Source organism: Homo sapiens, chromosome 8 (assembly GCF_000001405.40).
Source record: "Homo sapiens chromosome 8, GRCh38.p14 Primary Assembly".
NCBI classification, from domain to species: Eukaryota; Metazoa; Chordata; class Mammalia; order Primates; family Hominidae; genus Homo; species Homo sapiens.
In genome coordinates this window covers 101,717,743-101,740,966 of record NC_000008.11, presented here as the reverse complement: position 1 = coordinate 101,740,966, position 23,224 = coordinate 101,717,743, and the positions used below count along the sequence as shown (strand labels likewise).

General features: G+C 42.3%; 1 protein-coding gene across 24 annotated transcripts in view, besides 1 other annotated feature; it reads left to right on the top strand.

Moving 5' to 3' along the window:
- Window positions 1-23,224, top strand: part of NCALD (neurocalcin delta) — a 438,366-nt gene that overhangs the window by 383,941 nt on the left and 31,201 nt on the right. For 23 of the 24 annotated variants that reach the window (NM_001040630.2, XM_047422315.1, NM_001040627.2 and 20 more), the window contains one exon: window positions 21,319-21,715. In NM_001040630.2, the coding sequence (NP_001035720.1) occupies window positions 21,338-21,715 (378 nt within the window). In that variant the 5' untranslated portion in view covers window positions 21,319-21,337. Of the gene's footprint in view, window positions 1-19,615; window positions 19,755-21,318; window positions 21,716-23,224 lie in introns of all 24 variants that reach the window. The other variant, XM_047422316.1, reaches the window with a different exon arrangement.
- Window positions 14,731-14,790: an enhancer, noted in NCBI's record as "active region_27733". NCBI's record gives its function as "activates an Ori minimal core promoter by ATAC-STARR-seq in GM12878 lymphoblastoid cells {active_cell/tissue: GM12878}" and the evidence as "EXISTENCE:reporter gene assay evidence [ECO:0000049][PMID:35858748]".

Sequence of the window (23,224 nt, the reverse complement as noted above, 5' to 3'; positions counted from 1 at the left end):
GTATTTGCTGTAATTAGACTAGAAAAAATAAAGATAGTTGAATAGAAGTTAAATTATCTTATTAGCATTTAGAATGAGCAGGAAAAATCTTAGGTGGTTCCTGCTGGGAAGGGGGATGGATGGGGGTGTGCAGCATGGTATGTGAGTAAACCCAGCCAGGCACACACAGACAGCTTTAGATAGAAGGTGGTTTGCCTACTGGCACACAGAACCTGTCTTATAGAGATGTGGGGAGGCTTTGTTGGTTTTTTTGTCTGTCTGTTTGGGTTTTTTTAAACCACTTTGTGGATATATGTTCATCTTTCCTCTCTTTAGATTAAGCTTCCATTTTCATTTTCTCTTAACAAGACATGGAAATAGTAACCAGATAGTAAATAGCTAAACAGGAAAGCTTTTCCTTAAGCACACAAATATACACACATCCTTTCTGAGCCTCTGCTCTGCTTTCTACCATGAGATACCCTGCAGAGTGGAAGGAGTACAGAGATCTGTGTTCTCCTCCACCTTGGGTACTTATTGGCTATACATATAAAACCTTGGGTAAGCCCGTAATTCTTCACCCTCCACTTTGTTAATATTGGGATAATTAATCTTCCTTCTTCCTTTCTCATGATATTTCAAGGATCTGCTGAAATAGTGTATGTGAAAGTCCTATGGACTCATGCAAGAAGGGACTGGCCTTTATTTCAGTCCATAGCACTGGGCAGCTGGTCTAGTGCCTGCACACACTTTTAGTTCAGCAGATGTTAGTGGTAACAGTGAGTGTTTAAAAGAGACCCTGTACATGATTCTAAAAGCAGTGTCCTCTGCTAATTTAACTCTTTTATAATCTGTATGGTGAGATTAGGAGTAGAGGGAACAGGGGTCAAATTAGAATTGAGACAAAATTGGGTTTTAATAATTTCTTCATTCAGGCAATAGATTTTTATTAAGCAACTGTTACTTGCTAGGCCTTGTTCTAGGCACTGGGGTTATAGCAGTGAACAAAACAGACCCAAATCAATGGCCTCATGAAGCCTCCATTTTAGCAGGGTGTATTAGTCAGGGGTCTCTAGAGAGACAGAACGAATAGGATAGATGCATATATGAAGGGGAGTTTATTAGGAGAATCGACTCACACAATCACAAGGTGAAGTCCCACAGTAGGCCATCTGCAAGCTGAGGAACAGAGAAGCCAGTCCAAGCCCTAAAACCTCAAAAGTAGGGAAGCCGACAGTGCACCCTTCAGTCTGTGGCTGAAGGCCTGAGAGACCCTGGCAAATCACTGGTGTAAGTCCAAGAGTCCAAAAGCTGAACAACTTGGAGTGTGATGTTCCAGGGCAGTAAGCATCCAGCAGGGGAGAAAGATGGAAGCCGGAAGACTCATCAAGCCTAGTCCTTCCAACTTCTGCCTGCTTTATTCTAGCCATGCTGGCAGTTGATTAGATGGTGCCCACCCAGATTGAGGATGGGTCTGCCTCTCCCAGTCCACTGACTCAAATGTTAATCTTTAGTAACACCATTACAGGCACACCCAGAGATGACACTTTGCATCCTTCAATCCAATCAAGTTGACACTCAATATTAACCATCACACAGGGAAAGATAGACACTAAACTAAATAAAACTGTTAGTATATTAGAATTGCAAGTGTTAAGGCAACCCAAAATGTAGAGAAGGAGGATCAGGTATTATTTTTTTAACTGGGGGGGTAAGAGAGGACACTACTGAGAAGGGGAGACTGGGGTAGACCTGAAGGAGGTAATGAGGAGGTAAGGAGCCATGAGGACATGGTGGGGAGAATTGGAGCCACAGGGACACGAGGGGAGGCATCCAAACTATGAGGACATAGGGGGTGATATTCAAGCCGTGAAGATATGAGAGGATCCTGGATCCATGAGAATATTGGGGATGGAGACATTCAAGCCATGAGGATATGGGAGTAGGGAGGCATTTGAGGCACAGAGAACAGCACGTGTACCCTAAATGGGGGGATAATGCCAGGCAAGTTTGAGGAAAGAGACAAGTGAAGCTCAAGTGGAGGGAGGTAACTTGAAATAGAAGGACATAGAGTCAGAGAGACAAGAATGATGATGATGATGAAGATGATGAAGGTGATTAAGATACTGTTGAGTGCTTACTTTGCCAGTACTGTTGCATTATCTCACGTGATCCACACAAAAACCCCGATGCATCAGTTGAGGAAACTGATGCACAGAGAAGTATGAGTTCCTCAGGGTCACACAGCCACGAGGTCTTGAAGCCAGCACTGGCATTCAGGGTCCTCTGATGCCAACAGCCTGTCCTTAACCATTGTGCCTTATCATGTCTCCTGTGTAAGCAAGCCAACCGCAGATAGCGTTTTTTGGCGTTCCGTGTTCTAGGTGATATTTTCTTTTTTTCTTCTTCTTCTTCTTTTTTTTTTTTTTTTTTTTGTTTTTTTGAGATGGAGTTTCGCTCTTGTCACTCAGGCTGGAGTGCAGTGGCGCAATCTTGGCTCACTGCAACCTCTGCCTCCCAGGTTCAAGCGATTCTCCTGCCTCACCTTCCCGAGTAACTGGGATTACAGGCACCTGCCACCACGCCCAGCTAATTTTTGTATTTTGAGTGGAGATGGGGTTTCGCCATGTTGGGCAGGCTGATCTCGAACTCTTGACCTCAGGTGATCCACCCACCTTGGCCTCCCAAAGTGCTGGGATTACAGGCAGGAGCCACTGCGCCCGGCTGGGTGACTTTTTCTTATTGTTTGCCAGCTTTGTAGTGAGTATACTATCACCAAAAAAGTCCCTTGAGACTACTCTCAGTTTCCTAGGAAAAACAAAACATAAGGAGAAAACCAATACCGGTACCATTGCTGATAAACTTTGGACCTGTATAAAGAAAGTCTCAGTTTCCCAGATACAGAAAGAAGACTCTCTGAAAAGATGACCACAGACAGTAGCTTTGGAAAGGTACGATCTTTCATTATTACCAACTGAATGATTGCCAGGAATACTTGCCAGCTACCTTGCTATTCACCTAACACCAATATTTTTGAATAGTTCAGCTGCCCTCTGGTTCATGGAATTCTTAAAAATGACAAAAGCAATGTAACAGCATCTACAGTCAATACGAAATAGATGCAATAGAATGGAGCCATCGTTTCTTGAGCATTTACCACATGCCAGCGCCTTTCTCAGTGCTACAGAGGGAAGCACAGCAAAACTCCATAGGTGCACTCAGTGCTCCCTGGGGAGAGGAAAGACACCGAATGGAAGTGACCATCTCCACCTAAACACCAAGGAAGACTCCAAGGAGAAGGAGAGAGTTGGAATTTTAATGTTAACTTTTGGGAAACACATCCATGTTTACAAAATGTTTTGTTTTTATTCTCCTCCGAGCTTCCTTTATAGGGCTGGAGAGGCAATAAAAACACTTGTCAAGGTCAAGCTAGGGTGAGGAGTTTGGTGACTCCAATCAGGTTGGGGTGCGGCCTTGAGAGGCCCTGAGTACGAGGCTATGGGGTTTGGCATTTAATCTGTCATCAGTAGGGAACCGTGGAAGATTTTTGAGAAAGGACATGACTTGAACAGGTGGGGAGCCTTAAAGAGGCTGAGCAGTTAATATTTTTGAGTTCAGATGGGAGACAGTGAAGACAGTGAAGGCTTGGATTAAGAAATGGTAGCAGTGACAGGAAATGAAGTTGAGAGCAGCATGGGCAACATAGACCCTGTCTCTACACAAAGTAGAAGAAAATTATAGTCAGGTGTGGTGGTGCATGCCAGTTGTCCCAGCTACTCAGGAGGTGACACTGGTGAGCCACGATGGCGCCACTGCACTCCAGCCTGGGTGACAGAGTGAGACCCTGTCTAAAAAAAAAAGAACTGTTGAGAGACAAGGATTTCCTTGTGGCTGTATTTCTTTTCCTTATGACAAATAAAGGTGGTTTTGTGTTTTTTAAAAATTAGTTTATTCCTCTTTCTCACCTCTCTTACATTCTTGTGAAAAGCTGATTTTAAACACAGCAATAAAACAACTGAGAATCATTTCTTCCCCTGGGTAAGAAAGAATTAATGCACTCAATCAGTCAATATGCTGTATTTGTTACTTCTCAGTGGCATCCAATTTGTTCTGAAAATATAATTCTTGTCCAGCCAGAGCCTGGGAATGGGTGACAAGTTGCCCTCAACAGCACTAAGACCTTTCCAGAGTTGGATGGCCATTTGCTGTGGGGCTTCTCTGAGTCTGTTCTTATTCCGCCCAGACCCCACTTGGTTTGGTCTGTTTAGTGATTGATGGGCCTTGAAAACCCCAGAGGTTCTTACCTCTTTGGAGTCTCTTTACTCCCTGAACTCTGAGCCATAGCTACCATTTCCACTCACCACGGGGTATCCTATTGGCTGGGCCTGGAAAGTGGTGTTTTTGTCGGACATGGCCAGGTTTAACTCTGTGCCCTTAAGACAACACTCTGAGCCTCCAGGATGATGTGGAAACACCAGCAGGTATAGTTAGGGCATCTCCACACCTGCTGTATAAATAGGGAATATATATACTTTTTAGCAGTGTAATTGGCATGCAGTAGGAACACAAATAGGAATTCTGTTCCTTTCCTGTCCCTGCAGTGTGGTTGCTGAGACATGAATAAACTAGGGAAAGACTTTGAGAGGTGTTGTGACCACTCTTTAGACAGAATGGACCACTATCCAAAATTTAGTTCAGATATCAAGATTGATGATGCTATACATACACTAAAGGGATACGAACAGGTTTTCTACTTACATAATGGGAGCTTCTCAGCAGAGCAGGACAAGCCTACCAAACTAGTCCCAAGATGGCTTGAGAGAAGAGGAAAAGAGACAGCTCGGGGTTTTTATTGCCATTAGGGGGTACATACAGAATGAGGGCTCCTGCATAGGAACGGGGGCTTGCCTGGTTTGAGTCTCCCGCTGGTGTCGAGGAAGGAGCACCTTTTCTTATCAGCTAGCCCAGATGTGTAGGGCACAAGGAGGAAGAGGAACGGGTGATGTCCAAAAGCTGTGAGCAGTCAAGCATCAAAAAATTGAGTCAAACTTTTTATTACAAGAGGCCTGATGTTTGAACAGGATTGGATGGAAGTGAGAATCAACGGTGACTCAGAAGGAAGAAGAAGGAGCCTCACTCCTCACCTCAGACATAATATTAGCCTCCGCTGGCCACAGCGTAGATCAATATAATCCTGATGCAAATGGAATCCTTAGACTGTGGAAATATAAACACATGGCCTTCTTTCAGCCATGAACACAAAGGAATCTGAAGGAGGGGATAATATACTCAGTGATGTGGATTACTAGAGTTAGCAAATAAAAATGCGGGATGTTCAGTTAAATTTTAACTTCAGATAAACCACAGATTTTTTGTGTAAGTATGCCCATCAACATTTGGGACATACTTAAAAAAGTATTCATTGTTTATCTGAAGTTCAAATTTAACTGGATATCCTGCATTTTTATATGACAACTTTAATGAGCCCTTAAAAGCCCTGCAGACCTGAGAGGGGAGGCTGGGGAAGAGAAGAGGATGGTGGAACATTTGTCTTTTGGTAGCACCTTCCTGCCACCATCTCAGGACACACCCATCTTTGTCCCGAGGATGCTGTTGGGTGCTGCTTTTTCTACGGGCTTGGTAAAGTGGTAGGAGCAAAGCTTCCTTTAATACAGATTCTTATACAGCTGGCAAGGTTAGCCAGAGGACTGGTTGCTTATAACTTTCCATGCTCTTTTCTCTCTTGTCAGTTTAATAGATCGGCTCCCTGTGCTGGTAATCACAGACATAACTAATTGGTTTTGTTTATTACCTGATTTATGTTTTCCTCAGTCTTTGTTACTTCCTATCCTCCCTTCAATCTATCATTTTATCCTGCTTTCCACCCCAACATCCATCCTCCCATCTACCTTTTCTCCCTTCCTTGCTTCCTTCCTTTTGTTTTCCTTCCTCTTGTTCTTCTTCCCTTCCTTCAATGGCTTTTTGGGGCACCTCCTAATTTCTAATCTGCAACAGTTGTTCTACGTCCTCTTTTATCCAAAATCAGTATTTTCTTGCTGCTTTGGACCCATTCAGAGCAAACTCACAATGCAGATAATCTAATCAATGCAGATTCTGCTTAAGGAACATCATGGTAATGACACAGATTTCTTTACTGAGATTCAGAATGGAGTTAGAAAACACTGTGGGTTGTTGTTGTTGTTGCCTTATTTATTAGCCTGGTAATTGAAGAAATGTGGTGTGGTTTTTACCACAAAGCATTGATTCCTGCAGCAGGAGTTCCTTGAATGAATGGCCTGGGTCATTTAGGGAATATATCCCTTGCAACTAGAGCTGTGTCCAACAAGGAAGAGGTGCCTGCATTTATCCAGAAGAGCAAAAAGCCTGAAGGTGGGATGCTGGCGCCACAGCAAAATAAAATGCTCGTCAATGGCAACAAATTGTCAATTTGTCAATGACAATAAATGCTTATTAAGCATCTGTCAGGAATGGCGTTAGGTGCCAGGGATACAATATGAAACAAGACAGAATCCCCCTACAGTGGAGTTTAGCATCTGGCAGGAGATGTAGATTTTAAGCATATAACTGTGCAAATAATTCCAATTGTAGTAAATGCTTTTCCTAAGCACAAGATGTGATTGGAGCAAGTCATGTTCCGGGTGGTCAGAGAAGGCCTCCCCAAGGAGGGCATGTTCAGTGAGATCTGCAGGGTGAGTGTGTAGGAATTAGGGCAATGAGAACGTTTAGAAAATGGGAGAGGTTGAGTTGGAAAGGAGGGCGTTTCAGGTCCTGAGAATGGCTGCCGAGTGAAGAACAGATCTGATGGAGCAGAGGCAGAGGTCACAAGACCAACTAGAGGCAGTGATCCAAGCAACTCCTCCCTGCTCCTGGGGCACTGCTAACATAAGAGAGCCCTGGGGCTCCTCCTGGAGAAGGCCATCAACACAGCCAAGCATCACACGGTTGCTGTGACTGATGAGTGACACTCAAGCGGGGCTCGTGGGATCTGTATACAGAGCCACAGCCTCCTCAGCCCCAGGAAAAAAGACAACAAAACAAAACAAAAAGCAGCCTTCAGCTCACCTTCAACTGCTTCTCTAATGGGTCTTTGCTTAATTTCAGGTTAGAATAAGGATTTCCATGCAGGAAAACCCTCAGTGGGGGTCTGGCAGTCCACTCTGGGTGCACATCCACAGATGTCTTTCACCCCTGGCTAGCAATCTGAGGAGGGGAGTCGGGCTGGAAGCCAACAGTGGTTCTCTCGTTCTTTCTTGCATCTATCACTTTCATGCTCTTTTTCTTTCTAGTTCTCTGTGGAAGTAAAACAATGGGGAGAATGTCCCCAACTCTGGAGGGCTCATCGTTGTAAACAACCCAACCAAACTGAACCTTTATCTCATTCAGATGAATAGTCCATGTTTAGCGAGCACCTGCTAGATGCCGGCCATGATGCTGACCTTTTCCCTATTCATTGGGAAAAATGAATTTTCCCCCCTTTCTCACTTGGTCCTCCAAAACAGCCCTATGGAAAGGGTGCTATTGTGCCTATTTTACTGCAGAGCAAATGAGACCAAGAGATGTTCAAGGACTTGCCCAAGGTCACATAACACAGCACCATATTTAGAACTTCAGTGGAGTTGTTCTGCTACCAAGTCCAATTCTCTTTCTACACACCTTGCTGGGGGGAGCAAAAGATGCAAGAGGTTAAGAAATTATTGCATATTCTCTTTCTGTTCACCAATTAATGGGATTCTCACTTGTACATATGTTTGATGAATAAACGTTAATATTTTCGTAAGTTTGATAGACAAACATTAATACTTTTAGCCATGTTGGCCAGGATAGTACCTTCCAACAGAAGCAGCCACTGAAACCCTGAAAGTGATCCAGCCAGAGACATGGAAGGGGTGAGGGTGAAGAGGATGGTTCTGGTTCTACACCCCTGGGACCGTGAGTTGCATGAATTTATCATGGCAGTTAGCTTCTCTACACCCCTTATCCTTGGAGAAAAACCAAGATATAGCATATCTCACATCAATTCTACAGTGAAATCATGAGGATAAAATATTATTGAAAATGCTCCAGACTGGGCATGGTGGCTCATGGCTGTAATCCCAGCACTTTGAGAGGCTGGAGCAGGCAGATCACTTGAGGCCAGGAGTTTGAGACCAACCTGGTCAACATGCCAAAAACCCGTCTCTACTGAAAATACAAAAATTAGCCGGGTGTGGCGGCGTATGCCTGAAGTCTCAGCTACTCCAGAGGCTGAGCCACAAGAATTGCTTGAACCTGGGAGGCAGAGGTTGCAGTGAGCTGAGATCGTGCCACTGCACTCCAGTCTGGGAGACAGAGCAAGACCCTGTCTCAAAAAAAAAAAAAAAAAAAAAAAAAAAAAAAGCAAAGAAAAAGAAATACTCTGAATTGCAACCAGAATCTCAGATTCCTGTTATTTCCCTGTCCTATGTAGGATACTATTTTTACAAAAAGATTCTTTCTAAACCAGGAAGCTGTAGATGTTAAACACATGTGTGCCAAATAAATAAAAAAATTATGAACTATTCTTAGAGTCTATGGAGGGTCTTGAGTCAATTTACCGAATGAATTTGTGGCCTCTAGAGGATATCTAAAAATGGGGACTTGAGCTCCTCCTATACCTCCTCTGCTAAGTTAAGTGATGAGCCCTGGATCACCATGATGGATTTATTTGCCTCCCCAGTCCATGAGGGCCGACTGTTTTGTTTTATGGTTTTATCAGAACCCAAAGTAGTAATAATGAGTTTTAAGTAAGATAATATTTAGTACCCTAGTTAAGCGGACATTTATTGCAAAAGGAATTCCTCAGAAGTTTCCCAGAGTAAGGTTTTAACCTATGGCAGCCTTGAGGGGCTGTTGAGGCCCCAGAGCACCCTCCTCTTCCCTGGATGCAGCCTGCTCTGGTCCAGCATCTGGCTCCCAAGGCAGCCAAAACAGGCAGCTCTGTTGCAATGGTCTGACGGCCAGGTGGTCTGATGGTGAAGAGACATGTGGACTTCATCTGAAGCCTTTGACTTCAGACACTCCCACAGTTTCTTTGTTTGGGACAGCCTTGGAGTTTCTGTAGGCCTGGAATGTGACCATTTAGTAAGGCCTCTGTCCACTTTCTCATGGGCCCTTTAAGCATGCAGTGAAAGTACCCCTCCAATTGCTGGCAACCTGGGAGGGAGTGGAGGCAGACTTAGACATTAGATGGACTTGGAGTAGCTGGGAAAGGAGATGCCATCAGGAGTTGAATTTCAAGCAATAGAAGATGTAGGGTGCTGTTGAGGTAAAATATGTCTTTAGGTTGAAACAGGAGAGAGCGTATTTACATGGTTACAACAGTGCACTCTTTTAAGAGCAGGGTGGGTGTGCCCTCCTAAGCTCTCGAATAGCAAATGCCAAACTCACATGTCTGTCACTATAACTCAGGCAGACCATGGGGGGCGGGGAGTGAGGCGTGGAATTCCAACTCCATTTCCAATTTAATTCTCATCTTAGGGGGTATGTAAGCTTGCAAGATGTGTAGTTGGGTTATAACGGCTTTAGAGGAAACTGGCTTATTGGAGAATTTACTGCAAAGAGGTTCTTCATGTCATTGGAAAGAATAAGTTCTTGCCAATATAAATCAGCTCTATCTGCTAAAAACCCTGCACTGGCTCAGCCTCAGTCCAGAGTGAAAGCTGAAAGTCCCTATAGTCATGTCCAGGCCCCACATCACCTGGCCCCGCATGATGGTGCTGACGTCATCTCCTTCATACCCTCATACCCTCCACTCTAGCCACATCCTGGATCACGCTAGGCACGCCTCCAGTTTAGAGCCCTCTCGTTCACTGTTTTCACTCCTGAAAGAGTCTTCTCACACTTACCTCCATGGTGCCCTGCCTCACTTCCTCTGGTCTTTTTCCAATGTTGCTTTCTCAGTGGGGTCTTCCCTGGCTTCTGATTCAAAACTCCGACACCCGTTCACTGACTGCTGGTATTCTGCAACTCCCTTCTCTTCTTTACTCTTCTCCGTGGCACATCTTCATCTACCATTTCAATTATTTATTTTGTTTATTGTATGTCTATTGCCACTACACCATAAGCACCATTAAAACAGGTGCTTACAGTCTAGTGGCAATAGATGTACAAGAATAAGTTCTTGCCAATGACATGAAGAACCTCTTTGCAATAAATTCTACCTAAGGGATACGGGAACCATGACCAAGTGAATAAAAGAAAAGTGGAGTCAACCTAAATGTCTATCAAGGGGAATTAGTTAACTAAATTCCACATAATGGAATAGCAAAGGGCTGTAAGCCTCACATTATGAACCATTGTGTCTGTTACCTAATTCGATGCTTAGCACAAGGGCAGTGCTCAATTGATTATTTGTTGAATCCATCGATAAATGAAAATTTAGCAATTTGAAAGGGTAAATGAGCTACATCTATATGTATAACATGGAGGAATTTCCACAGTATTCTTTTTTTTTTTTTTTTTTTTTTTTTGAGATGGAGTCTCGCTCTGTTGCCCAGGCTGGAGTGCAGTGGCACGATCTTGGATCACCACAACCTCCACCTCCCAGATTCAAGTGATTCTCCTGCCTCAGCCTCCCGAGTAGCTGGGACTACAGGCTTGCACCACCACCCCTGGCTAATTTTTGTATTTTTAGTAGAGACGGGGTTTCACCATGTTGGCCAGGCTGGTCTCGAACTCCTGACCTTGTGATCTGCCCGCCTCGGCCTCCCAAAGTGCTGAGATTAGAGGCATGAGCCACCGGACCCAGCCAATATTCTTTTAAGTGAAAATGAAGGTTAAAGAATAATATAGAATGATCCTGTTTATAGTTAGAGTATATGGGTTTCATACATATGCATTTAAATGTCTAAGGGGATACGTATGATTTAAACTGTTAATAGTGTCTTTTTATGGAGTGCTATCGGATCGGAATGAAGATATTCACTTTCTCATTTTTACATCCCTTTATTACTTAGATTTTTTCAATAATGATGTAATACTTTGGTAATCCGCAAAACAAAAAATGGTATTTCCATATTTGGAGGAGGGGGAAAGTGTTGCTGTTAGACGAGGTTCTGCTCAGATTCTTATCAGAAGTATGTTTTATTGGCAGTAATGTGGTTGCACTTTATGAAAAATAAAACTTGGAAAAACCCCCAGGCCAGGCCCCTTTCAGCCTGAAATGCACACTCTAGTAGAGCAAGGTCTCTGATATTTTGGAGACTATAACCTCTGCTCACCTGGAGAAGACAAGATGATTTCCTGGGCTTTATCTCATGCTGTAGGGAATGCAAAAGAAGAGTACATTTGTTTCTAGTGAGCCTCTTGCTCACCAGATTTTTTTGTACCATTTCAGTTCTCATCTCAAACCCAGTCACGTCTCTGCAGGGGTTATGAGAACAAGGTGTGTGGCTGGGAACCCCAGGCCATGACCCTTCACATAGGAGATATGAGCTCACATGCCCAGCCTCGCTGGGAAGAGGCCTCACTGGGGGCAATGGCTTTGTAACATATTTCGGGCAATTCCAGCAAAGCCATTTTGTGATCCAAATAGGGCATAGGTCTCATTTCCTTACACTGGCTCATCTTAGCAGAGGCGAGAGGAGAGAATATTCTTTGGTCAAGATAAAGACTAAGTTAGTGAGATTATTATATAACTCTTTAATTCTCCCTCTTTTAATTTTTTCCTGATGTACTACTCTGTTTTATTTCCTAATTTGCCTGTTATATATAAATATGAAGTTTGTATGTATAGTCTTCTTTCAAATTCCCACTGGTTCCATTGAAGAAAAATTCTGAAGCAATGTGCTCTTCGGGTTTTTATTTAGTCTTCCTTATTTTTCCTTAGTGAAAATCAAAGACAATTGACCTAGAAATGAATTTGTGGGATTTTAGTCACCAGTAAAATTTAGGCAGCTAAAATATCTGATGTCTAAGTCATGGTAAATGAACACATACTCCTCTTCATCCACAACTTTGATAGTTCTCTTCCTTATATTTTAAGAACATTTTTTAAGTTGTGTCTCCACAATCTAGACATTCCATTGGCTGAAAATTCAAAGCAACTGTTAGTGGACAAGATTACATGCCCCAAATTAGGCAAACTTTTTTTGCGTGCTTTTTGTTTGTTTGTTTGTTTTGTTTTGTTTTGAGATGGAGTCTCGCTCTGTTGCCCAGACTGGAGTGCAGTGGTGCAATTTTGACTCACTGCAACCTCCAACTCCCTGGTTCACGTGATTCTCCTGCCTCAGACTCCCAAGGAGCTGGGACTACAGGCAGGTGCCACTATGCCTGGCTAATTTTTTGTATTTTTAGTAGAGATGGGGTTTCACCGTGTTAGCCAGGATGGTCTCGATCTTCTGACCTCGTGATCTGCCCACCTCGGCCTCCCAAAGTGCTGGGATTACAGGCATGAGCTACGCCCCGCCCTAGGCAAACATTTTAATGAAACTGGTCTCTTTCAGGAATCCCTGTGGTTACTGGGTTCCTTGTTGCAGCCAAGCTTGTCTTTAGCTGCTCGATTCTTGCAAATTCCATTTTAGGAGACTTTGGTGCAGTTTGCATTGAGGCTTTTCCTCTGAAGTTAATCAGGCTGTCCAGGATGAGTTGTGTCCTTTGCCCTGGAAAATCTAACTCTGGGCTCTGAGGAATTAAGTCATGGAGCTTTCAGAACCTTATGAGGAATCGCAGAAATGCAAGGCTGCAAATCTTTCCCTCCACGAATACACAAAGTAAAGAAGGGAACGTGCTCATCCTGAAAGCCTGTTCACTAGCCACCATTTCCTCTTGCTGTGGCGTCATTTTTAGTTGTCATTCCTTGATTTTTCTTTTTTAGTGGAAACTTAAGTTCTTATTTTAGATTCCTGATAGTAGTTCCTTGTTGGTGATTTGGTGTCTTCTCTTTGGATATATTTTACCTTTTTCATCTGCAGTCAATATCAACTCCAGATTTATTTTTTGATCTCTAGGAGACTGGGTGTGACCCAAAATAAGTTGAGAGATTTCACATTCCCCTTCCCAGTGTAAACTACTGAATAACAGGATGCCAGTGTCTAATAGAAAAGGGTGCGCAGTCACATAAGGAAATGCAGGATCAAAGCAAAGGCCCTTAAGAGGTAAAAGATGGGACATCCAGGAGGCCAAGGTGCCTGGAGCAGAGAGAGAACTGAGAGGTAAGTCAGAGATGGCCCAGGGCCAGCTCACGCAGAGCCTTGTGAGCCAAAGAGGGAATTCTAACTTTATTCTAAGTGCATGAGAAGACTTCATAGAACTTTAAGCAAAGGATTGACATAGTCTGATAAGTGTTTTTAAGAAGATACTTTTATGCTGGGCATGGTAATGTGCATCTGTAGTCGCAGCTACACAGGAGGCTGAGGCAGGAGAATTCCTTGATCCAGAAATTGAGGTTGTAGCATGCTAGTGCACCACAATCTTGCCTGTGAATAGGTACTGCACTCCAGCTTGGGTGACATTGCGAGACCCTGTCTCTAAAAAATGAAAATATTTTATAAAAGGTTACTCATTACTCTTGGAGGCTGAGTAGAGAATAGATTGGGGCAAGGAGTAGGGAGTGGGAAGATGAGTGAAAAGTAAGATTTCAGTGAGGAGAGTTGTTGTAGAAGATCAGGTAGGAGATAATAGTTTGTATTGAGGTGCTGACAATGGAAACGGCAAGAAGTGAATGGATTTAAGACAAATTTTGGATGCAGATCCAACAGCTTGCTGATGGAACAAAAATGGAAGAAATCTCAGATGAGCCTCAGTGCTTTAGAGAGAGCAGTTGGGTGGAAGATGGTATTCTTCACTGAGATGAGGAAAGTTGGGGTTGAAGAGAGCACAAGATTCAGAGAAAATACCAAGAGCTCCAATTCTTACTTGTTTCGTTATATTGAGACCTTTCAATGTCCAGTCTTGAACTGGGCATGAAGGACACAACACTGAAGAGGGCATGGTTTTAGCTTCCTTGTGTTTGTCTGCCTACTTCGCTGGTCATTCCTTTTTGTTCTCCTTTACTGGCTCCTTCTCATCTCCCAGAGCCTAAATGCCATGTGATCAAAGGCTCAGTCCTTGATCTACATTGACTTCTTTGGTGCTGTCATCTGGTGTTTGCGTAGAAACAGTATACACATTCACTTCCTTGGTGCTTTTCTATCCACATTCACGTCCCTGGTGCACTCATTCAGTCCTTGGCTGTAAACTCTATCTATATACTGATGACTACCAAATTTATATCGCCTCACTGAACCTCTTCCTCTACCTATAGACTTATATATTCAACTGCCTGCTTGACATCTCCAACTGATGTGTAATAGGCATCTCAGGGTTAACACGTATACAACTAAATAATGATATTCATGCCTCATCCAAAAGCCCTGCTTCTCTTGCATTTTCCCCATTTCTATAAATGTTAACTTTATCCTTATAGTTTCTTAGGCCCAAACCTTGGAGCTATGCTGCACTGTTCTCTTTTTTCACATCTTACATATGAACCATCAACCAAGCCTGTTGGCTCTACCTTCAAGCAGTACCTGGAATACAACCAGGTGCCCCTTTTCTGCTGATACCACCCTGGTTCCCACCACCATCACCTCTTGCCTGGATCATTGCATGGACATCATACCTGGTCTTCCTGGCTCTGCCCTTTTCCTCTTTAGCTTACTCTCAACACAGCAGCCAGAGTGGTCCTGTTAGGATATAAATCAGCTTTATCACATTTCTGATAAAAACCCTACACTGGCTCAGCTTCAGTCAGAGGGAAAGCAGAAAGTCCCTACAGTCACCTCCAGGTTCCACATCACCTGGTCCCTCATGATGGTGCTGATGTCATCTCCTCCCCCACCTCATGCCCTCCACTCCAGCCACATCCTGGATCTTGCTAGGCTTGCCTCCCAGCTTAGACCCCTCTCATTCACTGTTCTTGCTCTTCAAAGAGTCTTCTTACAGTTATCTCCATGGCGACCTGCCTCACTTCCTCTGGTCTTTTCCCAGTGTTGCTTTCTCAGTGGGGCTTTCCCTGGCTTCTTATTCAAAATTCCAACACCCGTTCACCCACTGCAGGCATTCCACAACTCCCTTCTCTTCTTTACTCTTCTCCATGGCACGTCTTCATCTATCATTTCACTTACTTATTTTATGTATTGTGTGTCTATTGCCACTAGACTATAAGTGCCACGGAGATGGGAGAGCTCCCTTGACCCCTCTGTGGGACTTGCAACAGGGGTGTGGCTTGCTTACTTGGACGCCATGCTCAAACCCCTTGTGAGATGGGGAGCATGCAGGCAAGAAGGTGTGGGGCCGAAGTGAGCCTTTTTGGGCTCCAGCCCCACAGCAGTGTCTAGTGGTGTGTTACAATTAATGCTCTTTTAGCAGTTGCTGTCTGCGGATGGCTAAGTGTTAACCAGCTCAGTGGAGAGTCAGGGTGACAGCCTTTTACACCCTGCCCTCTTGGTACCCGGGTTCTTGTTTGGCATCCAGGAAGAATCAGGTCACATGAACAGTTTGAAAGGTGATAAATGTGGAGGATTTTATTAAGCAGTAGAAGCAGCTCTCACCAGAAGGGAAGCTGGAAAGGGGATGGTGCAGGAAGAAGGTGATCTTTCCTCGGAGCCCACCATCTCTGGCCAGGCTTCTCTCTGAAGTCATGCTGTCTGAAGTTAAGCCATGTCTATCCACAGTCTGTGATGCTCAGTTGCTTCTTCTCCCTTGATGTTCAGCCGCTTGTCTCTCTGCCAGCTGAGATCTGGGGTTTATATAGGCACAGGATGGGCAGCAGTGCAGGCCAAAAATGTAACATTTGGGTGGGAAAACAGGGATAACTGTTCTTATTTAGGGTCATGGTTTCCAGGCTTGAGGGTGGGGCCTTTGCCAGGGAACCACCCTCTTCTACCCAGTATTTCCCTGCCTCCTGTCCACATCACCATGAAAACAGGGGCTTTGCCTGTTTGCTCCCTGCTGAATTCCGCAGTGCCTAGGAGTGCCTCACCCCCAGTAGACACTTAGTGCCTGTTTGTGGAATAAATGAGTTCCAAAAGGAGGTTGTCTCCTTCTTCTTCACTACTTCTTTCTGACTTTTTATGGATTGTTGTCTTAATCTCTATAAATGCTTTGTCCTTGGGGCTAGTAGAGCATAGGGCTAAAACCACTGGGCAACCAAGCAGCAGCCCACACTCACAGTTAGGCTCTCTCATTCACAAGCAGTGTCACCTGGAATAAGTCACCTAGCCTCTCTGAGTTTTCATTTATTTGCTTATGAGATAGAGAAAGCCTGCCTGCCTATCACACAGGTTGTGAAAGTTTAATAGGATGTCACATGAAAGATCATCTAGGATAAGGCATCATTTTCATTTATGGCAGCGTCTGGCCCTGACTGAATGCCAGAGCTTTACATGTTTGACTGTCTCATTTAACTCTCACATGGAATCAATAAGAGATGAACTCATATCATTAAACTCATTTTACAGATGAGAAAACTGAGGAGAACCAAAATGTTAAGTGAATTACCCACCAGCTAGTAAACAATAGAGCCAGGCTTTGAAGCCAAGCATTTTTATTCTAGTGTTTTTCCAGTGTTCATCCAACAGGACATCCAGGAGGCCAACGTGTCATAGTTCCCAACAGATTATATTCTGAGTTATCTACAAACTTTTTTGAGTCACTTGAAGATTTGTCTTTACACTCTGATTATAGTTTCCACCAGCCTATGCAGACTGCCAAGTAGGTCTCATTTTTTCCTCTTAGAAATGGTAAAATATCATATAGTCACTTATAAGAAAAACTGTGATTAGAAAAAATTTTAGCATTATCCACTTTATGGTCATTCAAGAATGTTAAGTGTGAGCAGAGAACAACAGTTCCACAACTTGATTAGTTGGTAGTTTAACATGGATGTCTGAAAGTCACATATACGTAATTTCTTAGGATTCTTAAATTAGTAAATCTAGTTTACTGAAGCAGTATTAGCATTACTATTTTAGATTGCAAAAATGCCTTAATTGTGTAGAATTGGCTTATAGAGTGTTACTTAAGAAAAATGTGATTCTACCTCTATTTCTGTTGTAGCACACTTAACAACAAACAAACATGAAAAGATATATTAGCTTTCATAGAAACATTTTTGTTCTGTAAATAGGTTAATGATATGGTAAGGCCCCTAAGATAACTGAATTAACATTGTTTATATTAATGTTACTGCTGTTTATAAGATAGTATGAATTTGTGGGCTTATCTGAATTGTAGGCCATTCCCGTGATTAAAAATAAAGACAAAACTTTGAGTTACTGTTTGCGAAAACCTTATTGTGCTATGTAGAAATATTGAACTAATATTAAAATATTTGATGCTTTGGTTTCAGGGATTGGTTTAAAATTGGAGTCCTTTTTTTATTGGTTAGTCTTACAAAAGTGTAAGCCATTATATTTTTGACTATTTAAATAAAAACAAATGTTATTTTAAATATACAGAATGGATTGATAGTATAGGAGAGTGTAAGTTCTTCATAGGAACTTTAGAAAAGAAATATATGCTAATTCAGTTTTTTTAATCTTCTGCACAGTATATATACACTTGGTAATTTTGAACTCAATTTTGTGTTTTGAAAATATGTGTTCATAATTTAGGTAATTTGCTACTTAAAGCAATAAGTCTCTGATACCTGAAAAGTAAATGTAAATGGCGACGGTGAAATAATACTGCAATTAACTTAATAGAGAAAAAATTATTAAAAGACAGCCTGTCATACCTATGTTCAACTAGCACAAAATAAATGTTTTAATGACTGACTGGAGTTATGAAAACGATTTGACCCAAGGTGCAATTTTTGTCTCCAAACTGTTTTTCTCTTAACTGCCAATTACTGTAGCATTTCCCTAATGTTATCCTGCCCCATCCCTTCGACTCAAACGGGCAGAAATTCCTGTCTTCCCAAAGAAAAAGGTATTGTCAGGCTTCCCTCTGTCTTCCTCCTCACCACCTAAGGAATGAAACTCTGTCAAATGTCCCCTAAGATTTGTGTTGTACCATCTAACCAAGTCCAGATGGTGTCTCAAGTTTAGTCCTCATACTTAGTAAAGTGTTTGTAGATGAATTCTAGGCTTAATTGTGAACACTCGTTTTCCCAATAACTTATTCCATGCTTTTCTGACTTGTTTGTGTTATGGCCTTTCTGTGCTGATGAATTTGTAAATGTGGTTTAATTACTGTTTACCAAAAAATAGCTGCACACAGATCAGTCTCAGTGGGAGACTTAGCTAAAATGTTGAGGCAATTTGTTTCTAGTGCAAAAGCAGCTAATAAATTTGAAGCACTTTTTAAACACTGGGAAAGGCACTTAAGTTTGGTTGTGAAGAAACAGTGCTTTATACATTGGAGACATAAATCATTCTTTAAGAGAGTAGATTTAAATATCAGAATGGCATTTTTCCCCAAGGCCAGGCAAGCAGCAATTTGCACAAACTGTAAAAATGGTGATTTGATTGAAAACCACACCAAAGAGATATATTCTAAAGAACTCCCCAAAAGGAAAACTTGAAATTACTTGTAAATTCCATAAAATGTCTCAGAGCTCTAGAAAGCCGGGTATTATGTATTACCGGATGTTTCTGAATTCTGGCCTCAGGCAAATTGCCAACTTAGCAACTAAATGACAGCTTTACAATTCTAATACAAACCAGCCTCTGTAACTCTGTTTTTTTAATCTCCAGGGGAAAAAAAGGACACAGAGGGAAGTGAAAGATATTAGACTGTTCAATTTATAAATTCCATTTGTTCTCCATTTGAGTTGCAGTTGAATTTTGCTTTTGCATAAAATGGTGTTTGCTTGATTCTGCCTAAAGAGGGAACTCTGGGCCAAGCGTGGTGGCTCATGCCTGCAATCCCAGCAATTTGGAAGACGGCATGAGCCCAGGAGTCTGAGACCAGGCTAGGCAACAAAGTGAGACCCCCATCTCTACAAAAAATAAAAAATTTAGCCAGGCATGGTGGTACACACCTGTAATACCAGCTATTTGGGAGGCTGAGGCAGGAGGATTGCTTAAACTCAAGAGTTTGAGGCTGCAGTGGGCCATGATTGCACCAGCACATTGCAGCCTGAGTGACAGAGTCTTAAAAAAAAAAAAAAAGGCAGGGGGAACCCAAAAAGTAAGTTCCTTCCTACAGCAGTTGGCCATACTCATAGGTGAAGTGCCCCATACTCCCATCACTTTGGACACCTGCATATGAGCAGGGCAGGTTTTGCCTCCAGTGCAGAAGTCAGAAAACAAAATCAATAAACTTGGCAATGAATGAGGATTGCTGGTCATTATCTGAACCATGAGTATTATGCAAGCAGTTTGAGTAGCGTGAGATACAAACACCACCCCGTAGAAGTTTATTTTTAGTGAGGCCACCAGACAGGCCTCACTAAATTCAATATAAGAGATCCTAAGCTCAAGTCTTAACCACCAGATAGTTTTCAGTGTGTAAAATAGCGTTCTGAAAACCAAGCCCCCGTGCTTCTGGCAGTGAGCCTCCTTTTCCAAAATTATTCCATGTTTCCACTTTGTAGTTACCTTCCTATCAGTCATTTTTCTCAGTCATGCCTTCATTCATTCATTCACCAAATGCCATTTGCGGTGGGCTCTAGGAAGACGAAGCAACCCCAGTGGAGACTCTGCCTCAAGGGCCTGACTGTGTAGCAGGAGGGAGACAGAAACAAACCCCAGAATGCGTGAAATCGCAAAGAAGATTGGCAATCATTAAAATGGGGATATGCTGTCTTTCAGGTATTCTGTAATTTTTCTAAGCTTTGCTTTCAGGTTTTTTTTTTCCAATAGACGAAAAATGCAAAATACAAGTGCAGAACTTTTTTTTGAGATGGGGTTTATCTTGACCACACTTCAATCATATACCTTGGGAATTAGGAACTAATCTCGTATATCACCTCCTCCAAGAAAGCTTCCCTGAGAGCACCCATGCCCCCTTTGGGTTGGGCATTTTTCCAGGTACTTTCACCAAATCCACTCTCTATTCTGTAGCATATCTGTCATATCGTCCCCTCACTGTTACCACCATCCCCTGCACACACAGCTAGGTGCCCTTAGGGAAAAGGGGCCACATCTTATTCTGCATCCACAGAACCAGAAACACACTGGTAATTGAGAGCCAAATGTTGAGGCAGTTTGTCTCTAGTGCAAAAGCACTATAAATGAGAAGCACTTTTTATACATTGAGAAAATAACTTCAGTTTGGTTTTGAAGAAATGGTGCTTTCTATACTCAGGAAAATAAATCATTCTTTAAGGGAGTAGCTTTAAATATAAAAGTGGCATTTTCCCCCAAGGCCAATAATAATTACAGGTATTTCCCCACCTAGTAAAAGTTACCTTTATTTTCCACACCATGTTAAGTTTAAAAATAGGTAACAAAAAGGTGTGCATTCTTGTTATGGAAACATATATTAACAGCATATTTAAGTACACATACGAAAAGTCTGGAAGAACACATATCAACATGCTAGCAATTGTTATCTCTCAGGGTTAGTATTTGAAGTGATACTGCTTTTTTTCCCTATGTATCACTCTTTTACTATGTTACTATAACTATGTGCTACTGCCATGATAAGAAAATGCAAAGTTATTTGTATTTTAAAGAGAAACATTTGACCTATTTTATAAGCCAAAATCATGACATAACTTTATGAAGCATCATCTTTACTATCAAAACCCAACATTGTCAGTGATTTATTCCATGCGTTTAAATCCCTGAACTAGCATGTTGGAGTTTGGTGGTATTAGGTTTGCTTCCATTTTCTGTCTTTATGTCTGTGTTTATAATATTCAGAAGGTATCCAAGCAGCATTTTACTTGGAAATATTCTAGCAATAAAACCTGCTAAATTCTTTCCCTTGGTCTCTCTCTTCCTCCTTTCCTTTAATTTTCCCTGCTAATACTTGGATTAGCTATCAGAACCCCAGCCTTCTTAAATTTAAGCTCAACCTCTGGCAAATTGATGTCAAAATTAACTAAGCAATTAATTCTCCCTCTCTCCCTGCCCTCATTTCCCTCTACCTCACGCTCTCTCTGAACCTTTTGCTTTCAGGATGGCTCTGTATAAAAGAAGTATTCATTTTCTGGTCAGTGATAATTCTGCTGTGCATCCTCTACTGGCCTATCTTTCTATTATTTTGTTTGGCTGACCAGTGTGTTGCAAAACCTAGACAGTGTTACTGGACTCGTATAGAGTTTATTTGTTTGTTTTTTCTTCTTCCCAAAGGAACAATTACAAATTATAAAATGCAGCCCTAAAGAGCAGCTCTACAAATTATATATGTTTTCTTTTCTATCTGCAGCTGAATTCTTGCCGCCAGGATGGGGAAACAGAACAGCAAGCTGCGCCCGGAGGTCATGCAGGACTTGCTGGAAAGCACAGACTTTACAGAGCATGAGATCCAGGAATGGTATAAAGGCTTCTTGAGAGACTGCCCCAGTGGACATTTGTCAATGGAAGAGTTTAAGAAAATATATGGGAACTTTTTCCCTTATGGGGATGCTTCCAAATTTGCAGAGCATGTCTTCCGCACCTTCGATGCAAATGGAGATGGGACAATAGACTTTAGAGAATTCATCATCGCCTTGAGTGTAACTTCGAGGGGGAAGCTGGAGCAGAAGCTGAAATGGGCCTTCAGCATGTACGACCTGGACGGAAATGGCTATATCAGCAAGGCAGAGATGCTAGAGATCGTGCAGGTACGTAGACTGAGCCCTTTAAAAAAAGAAGGGCATGTATCTCAAGTAAGAATTGGAAGGTGCACAGTATAGCACGGTGCAGAGGTTGCAAACTGGTGAGTCACCAGGACACTTCATTTGGCCCACCCTGCATGTTTGAACAGTTTAAACTGCATTACAGTGTGGGGAGACTGCACATAAAAATCCACACTGGTCGGCATCTCTTGAAAAACTAGACTAGTGGGACTCCCGGGTCATAGGTGCATTTAAAAATGTTCTGATTGGCAATTGGTTGTAAGAGTTACGATCAATAAAAAGGAATGTCTAGATTATGATTAGTGGTTGTGGAGACCAAGGTTTTACCATACAGATGAAGACTCTTAAGTAGCAGGCTTCAGAGAAAATAGCTTGGAAATGTTTCTTATCAGATGTAAAATCTGTGTTGCTGTTAATGCTGGTGGGCTTTTCCTGAATTCCAAGAGGAAGGAGGGTATAATGAGGCATCTCCAACACCCCTTCCATCATGGCCTGAGCATGTTTTTCAGATTAACTTTAGAATGCCCTTGGCTGAGAGGAGTGGTTCATTCAGATGATTGGGGGAGCCTTAGAATTTTATTTTTTGGTTTACAGCACCATGTTAGCTCCTGCTCAACACTTTTGCCCAGTCGTCCTGGCTGCTGTTGGTCAATGGTTTTGTGATCAGTACTGATGAAGATGCAGACGCTGAGGCAGGGAGGAACATTTAGTCTTCGTGGGCTGATGAAATCAACACTCCCTGCTAAGAACTCAGCCCTGAACAAATAGTATAGGGTGGAAAATGGACACTGTCCCTTTTCTGTGGAATCCAGTTTGTGAAAGAGACAGAGAGAATTGCAGAGAATATGCAGAAGGTATGAATTGACCCCCACCCAGCCCCTGTTGACTTCACTCCACCACATTTGCTAAGGAATGTAAAAAGTGATCATTAAAAGGAAGGTGCTTTGGGGCAATGTCCTTTGGAAAAATAAATAAATAAATGAAATGAAATGAAATAAATAAAAGGAAGGTGCCTCAGCCTCCCAGAGGCATTTTCTTCACTGTAAAGCACCTCAGTCCATTCACAGGCCCACAGTGTTTCCAGGCTATAATTGTAAGGACACCCATTCCTTACAAAATGCTCAGACACTCATGGCTCTTAAGAAGACTGCAAAGGAAAGCTTGAATTTCTTAAACTGTTTCCTAGAGTGCTAAGTCCTGATGATTAATATTCATGATCACAGAAAGGAAATATTGTAGCATCCCGAGGTGACTTCCAAATCATCAAAGAGATTAAATTAAACTTAGAACCATTTTCATATTAAGGGCTATGTTATTCTATTCTGCTACTTTGCAAACTGACAATTCATGTATTCTGCCACATTCTTATGCTAATCTCCCTGCTTTCAATTATTCTGGATAAACTGGAATTTACTGTAGGATCTCACAGAGCTTCCCATTCTATTTTTTGTTGTTGTTGTTTTTTCCCTCCCTTTTTGAAAACCCACACTCCTC